This window comes from Homo sapiens, chromosome 3, assembly GCF_000001405.40.
Source record: "Homo sapiens chromosome 3, GRCh38.p14 Primary Assembly".
Classification (NCBI taxonomy): Eukaryota; Metazoa; Chordata; class Mammalia; order Primates; family Hominidae; genus Homo; species Homo sapiens.
Genome location: NC_000003.12, coordinates 34,052,543 through 34,059,142, shown reverse-complemented (window position 1 = coordinate 34,059,142; position 6,600 = coordinate 34,052,543). Strand labels below are relative to the sequence as shown.

Sequence of the window (6,600 nt, the reverse complement as noted above, 5' to 3'; positions counted from 1 at the left end):
ATGATATTGCCTGTGGGTTTGTCATAAATAGCTCTTATTATTTTGAGGTATGTTCCATCATACCTAACTTATTGAGAGTTTTTAGCATGAAGGGATGTCCAATTTTATCAAAGACCTTTTTTGCATCTATTGAGATAATCATGTGGTTTTTGTCATTGGTTCTGTTTATGTGATGGATTACATTTATTGATTTGGGTAAAACAACATATTTTTCTTAACGAAATATATGGATCAAAGAATAGATCAAAGGGGAAATTAGAAAATATTTTGAATTGAAAGAAAATGAAAATATAATCCATCAAAATTTTTGGGATGCAGCTAAAACTACATTCTATATCAGAATACCTACATGGGAAAAGAAAAAGTTATCAAATCAATAACATAGATTTCTACCTTATAAAATTAGAAAAAGAACAAACTTAAACCAAAGCAAGCAAAAGAAAGGAAATAATAAAGATTAGAATGAAAAATCAATGAAATAGAAAACAGAAAAACAATAGAGGACTCAAACCAAAACTGATTCTTTAAAATGATCAATAAAATTGACCAACCTCTCAGCTAGAACAAACAAGAAAAAAAAGGGAGATGACACAAGTTACCAAAATAAATGAAAGAGATAATATCATTATTAACCCTAGGGAAAATAAAAGGAGTATAAGGCAATATTATAAACAACTTTTTGCAAACAAATTGGACAATTTAGATGAAATGAGCAGATTCTTAGAAAGACGCAAATTACCAAACTTAGAAAGAAATGGAAAATCCAAATAGACCTATACCAAGTGAAGAAATTGAAGTAGTAATTTTAAGTCTTACCACAAGGAAACCCCCAGATGGTTTCACTGGTGAGTTCTATTAAATGTTTAAAGAACAAATAATATCAATCCTTCATCAATTATTTCAGGAAATAACAGAAGAGGGAACACGTCAGTTCATTCATTATATAAGTATTTCTGTGATACCAAAGCAAGACAAAAACATCACAAGAAAATTGTATATCAATATCCCTCAGGAACATAGACACAAAAAATTTTAACAAAATGTTATAAATCCAAGTCCAGTAGCATATAAAAGAATTACACACCATGGCCAAGTGGGATTTATATATGGAATGCAAGATTGGTTGAACACCCAAAAAACAATTAATGTAATGTAACCTATTAATAAAATAAAAACAAAAATATAATCAGTTCATCAACTGCAGAAAAAGCATTTGACAAAATCCAATACCCATTCATAATTTATTTTTAATTTTTCAAAACTCCAAAAAATTCAGCATAGAAGGGAACTTCCTCAAACTGAGAAAGTACATCATGGAAAAGCTATAGCCAACATGCTTAACACTAAAGACAGAATGCTTCCCCCAAAGGTTGAGAACAAGGCAAGCATGTCCACCCTTGCCACTGCTATACAACATTGCATTAGAGGTTCTAGCCAGTGAAATATGGAAAATAAAGAAAGAAATGGAGCTAGGAAGGGAAGGAGGAAGGTGTGAATCAGGTTCATTAATAACAATTCCCAAGAAAGGACTCCCACTGCATGGAAGCAGCAAAAATCATCACTATGCCAATCACCAAAAATAGGAGTCCAAACACTTATGCCCACTTCATCCTGGGCTGAAGTGTTACCAATGCCTGAGTCCAGTGAGGCAGAACACACTAACACTCAACAAGTTGTATGAAGTGGATTTATAAGTTACAGAGAGGTAATGTGGGACAAACCAAGGAGAGGATGCACGGTGAGCCAATCCCCCAAGACTCACGAAAGCTGCCTGGGGTGGATGGAGTCTTGACTGTGCAAGCTCCACCTGCACCACAGCTGAGGGATCCTGAAACGCAGCCAGCCCTGGGTTATACACCTCAGGGGCCACATGACACACTGGGAAAAGCTTGCTCAACAATTTCAGTCATTAGGGAAATGGAAATTGAAAACACAACTAAATACCACTACACATCCGCTAGAATTTCTACACTCAAAAAGAGAAACAATACCAAGTGTTGTTGAAGATGTAGAAAGACTGGAACTTTCTTATGTTGTTGGTGGAGATGTGAATTGGTACAGCCTGTTTGAAAATGAGTTTGCCAGTTTCTTGAAATGTTAAACATAAACTTACTAAGTGACTCAGCAATTTCACTCCTAGGAAACTACTCAAGAGAAATGAAAACACATTTTCACACAAAGGCTTATACACAAATGTTTATTACCAAACTATCAATTCATCCTACAACATGGATAAACTTTAAAATCATTGTACTAAGTGAGAGAAGCCCAACACAAAAGGCAATATATGTTTCCATTTATACTAAATGTCCAGAAAAGACAAATTTATAGAGACAAACACACCAGATAAGTGATTGCCTGAGGCTGGTGTCGGGAGGAGGAACTGACTGCAAACTAACAGGAAGGAATATTTTAGGCTGAAAATGTTCTAAAATTGGTCTATGTTGATGGTTTCACAAACTCTATAAATTTACTAAAAAGCACTGAATTTAAACTTATAACAGGTGATTTTTGTGGTATGCAAATTATACCTTAATAAACTACTTCAAAAATAAGACATTATTCTATTCTTAAGATGTCTCCCCAACTAATGGTATGTGAGAAAAGGAATAGCAATAAGCAAGACCACTATAAATTCCACAGCAGTGATATAACAAGGTGATCTGTGAACAAAAGAGATGGGGGTCAGGAAGCAAGAAGAGGTAGATTAGAAAGGCTTTACCAAAAAAAACATGGTGTTTGAACTGATACTTAAACTGGTTCTTAAGCTGGGTGCGGTGGTGCATGACTGTCGTACCAGCTACTTGGGAGGCTGAAGCAGGAGGATTGCTTAAGCCCAGGAGTTCAAGGCCAACCTGGGCAACATAGCAAGACCTCATCTCTTAAATAAATAAATTACATCAAGCTAGAGTAGGGTTTATCCCAGAAGTAATGGGACCTCATTAATAGACTGAAAGGGAAAGAATAATATACAATTGCCTCAGTTGATGCAGGAAAAGAATTTGATAATGTTCAGCAACTATTTATGGAAAAATAAATCTTTTAGCAAATCATAGAAGAGAAGAGAATTAGGAATATAAGGAAATGGATTTTTTCTAAGATTGGAGAAAGTGAAAACCACAAGTATGTGCACTATCTCCATATTGTTTAGCACAGTATTGGAAGTCTTAAAAAATAGTTCTAGAAGTTAAGGGAGGACAAAAAGGAAGAGATGTTATGATTTTTAAAAAAGAGATAGGAGACTATTTGTGGATGATACAATCCCCAATATAGAAATGCAACAAACAATTAGAACTAATACAGTTAAGCAAAGTTGTTGGATGCAAGATCAACTTACAAAAGTCAAAAGTCATTCTTTCAAACTCAGTAACCAACTAGAAAATATAATAAAAATAATATTACCTTCATAACAGCAATAGAAAAGCTTAAAGTATCCAGAGAGTTTAACTAACAATTTACTATGCAGAAAAATTTTTTAAGTTTAATAAAGTACAAAGAAAATAGAGGCACAGAATGAAGTTGCATCCCATGGTCTTGAATAGGATTACATTGTAGGCATGTAAATTCTTTACCAAATGATCTACAAATTATATGTATTTACAATTATTGTATTGCAGAGGCAATCACTATGAAAATTCCACCTGATCTTTTAGGCACTTAATGATCTTGATCACCTCTATAAACAAATAGAGGTCCACCAAAGGAAAAAAGATTGGGAATTTACAAAAGCTATAATTACAAAATACAGTTTAATTTTAGAGAAAATGCGAACAAATAGAAATAGAGCAAAATATTTCAGGAAAGAAAAAAATATATATATATATATATATATGATTCAATAAAGGTGGCACCATAAATTAGGGGGGAAAGGATAGATTGTTTAGGAGAAAGTATTAGAAAAATAACTCATTACATTTAGAAATAAAACTGGGACTCTAACACCATATGCAAAGGTGGATTCCATTTGGATAAGTACCTAAATGAAAGATACAATTATAAATTATAATTATAAATCATAAATTTAGTAAATGAAAATGTAGTAGAATATCTTTCTCACCTAAAGATAGATAAGGCCTGCTTAAATAAAACCCCAAGTATGCAAACTGCAAGGCAAAAAAATCTCCATATATTTGATTACTTAAAAAGTAATGCTTTCTGGTCAATAAAAAATACTGTGCATAAAGTTAAAAGATAACAGATCAAGAGAAAAAATTTGCACTGTTCAAAATGAATAAGGAGCTAATATATAAAATACACAGGGGACATTTGCAAAGAAAAAGCAATCCTAGTAGAAGAATGGACAAAAATATGAATAGAAGGTGTATACAAAAGATAACTCAAAACACTGCCACAAACTCAGTCATCAAAGAATATAATTACAACAATATTGAAATATCATTTTACCTCAGTTAAAACTGGTAAAAATTATAAATCTGAATAAATTCTCACAAAGGTCCATAATTCTTTGCAGTGGCAGGGAGTTAGAGCAGTTTCGGAGTCCATTACCTCCCAACTGAATAAGCAAAAGGAAGGGAAGCATTCCATGAAGTAAAATGTAGTATTAGCAACGACAGATTGAATGTAACACAGCAACATAGATGGATCTTTTAAAAATGGGCTTAGTGAAAAAAGGAACAGAATGAGATCTATTCCCAAGTACCATTCACATAAACTTAAAGTACAAGCACATAAAACAAACAGGAATACAAGGAATAGAGAGTTTAACAACAGACAAAAGGATGTATTGTAAAACCCTAGAGTAGTTTCTTATAGAGAGGGAATAGAAATAGAAAATTTAAATTAAACAGAATACAATAAGTTAAATAAGTAAATGAATGAATAAATGAGAGAGGAAAAAGCGAGAGAGAATATCTTCAAATAATCAAATTATTCCCTACTTTCCCTTCCCATTAAGTGACCCCAGGGTCCATTGACGATTTCCAGGAAAATTTTTTAAATATTTCAAGTTATTAAATTATGGATTTTGTGTGTGTGGTAAGGTGTCACTAAATAACAAAATATACACCCTTACTTGAAACTCAATTTCAGCTCCATGAGAAAAGGAATGATGTGAGTCCCTATGGTCATCAATGTAATATGGAGGACACTTTGAGTTAGCTCTGATGAACTCTACAAACTTTGCAAGAAAATTAAAATGAAACCAACACTTTCTTTTCTCATAAGTTTGTTATCCTTGGTTATTTTTTTCCGACTATTTTTATTCCTGTACATACTTTCAAACTCTAGACCTAGATTTTTTTTATAACTTGACTGCAAGTCAGAGAGATACACACATACTCCTACAGTGAGCCTCCCTTGGAATATGCAAAAAGATTAAACAGATTGTGAAATAAAAAACCCATGTGTGCCAAAGACGTGGGTGTATTCACTTCTTAATTCTGCATAACAAACACAATTTTGTATAAGACACAATTTCAGTGGGGGAAAAATACAAATGAGAACTTTAAGATACTCAGTAAATTCTCATTCGTTTACTAATAAGTGAGTATTTCTTACGCTTTCTGTTGCCTAAAAGAGGATGATTTCAACTTTCTTTGTAGTGTGTGTTGGTAAAGAAGAGAATATAGTCTAACCATATATGTTAGAAGCTTTGTCACCAAGAGTGGACATCCAGACAGCACAAGGTCAAAGGCAAAGTTCAGGCCAGCCCACTCTGAGAGTTCCCCAAAAGCCAAGGTTGCAGGCTTGAAGTCTCTGATCAGCTCTTCCCACTTGTGGCCCGCCCGGATCTGGCACCTTCTCTGTCCACTTCCACAGGCATCCCTGCAGAAAACTACTACCACCAGATAGCTGCCCACCAACATAGGTTCCCCAGGCTGCGGACAGATCTCTGTTGATTTCCTCACAAGCCTACCAGCCTCTTGGTAGCATTAATCTGCAACTGTTGATAATTCACCTATGGTAAAGAAAAAGTGTACTCTTTTGTGAGTTCTGATAACTTACTAAGAATGTTCTAAAATGCAAAGTAGCCAGGCAAATATTTAAGAAGCATACTCATTTATAAGCAGATTAAGAACATCCATTCGAATTCAAAAAGTAAATGTATGCATGTCAAATGAGTCCTAGGTAATCATTAAAGGAAGCCTGGTAGCTCTTTATCACCTACTGTAAATGCTTGCATTTTCAGAGCATTGACCAAGGTGGGCCCTTCCCATAGCCCTCTGCACTAGGTTACTTATTCCACTGCATGGGCACCAAGGGTGGCTTAACTAACCAGCCTGGTGGGTAGAGAGCCTTCTCCAAGTCTCCCTCATAGACATTCTCTGCAGTCTTATATTTGCCAACTTCATAGAGTATTCTTGTGTGGTTGAAGCTCTCGGGAGTTTCCTTGGACCTCAGGAAAGCTGCCAGCTCAAAAAGAATAAAGGTTGAATACGCAACCTAGATGCATGTTTTATTTAAATTCCAGTGTTCTGCTCAAAGGCCTTCTGGCTCCCCTAGGCCCACCAGGGAAAATATAAACAAATCCATGGGCAGCCATGCCCTGGGCCACTTCATCCATGTTACTACCCGTTTCACAGCTTCCACAACAAGCCTTTGGGGACAAGAAGAACTTACAAGGAAATTTTTAAAAACAGA

At 34.7% G+C, this 6,600-nt stretch overlaps 1 annotated feature.

The window, feature by feature from the left end:
- Positions 1,736 to 2,015: an enhancer, noted in NCBI's record as "active region_19653". NCBI's record gives its function as "activates an Ori minimal core promoter by ATAC-STARR-seq in GM12878 lymphoblastoid cells {active_cell/tissue: GM12878}" and the evidence as "EXISTENCE:reporter gene assay evidence [ECO:0000049][PMID:35858748]".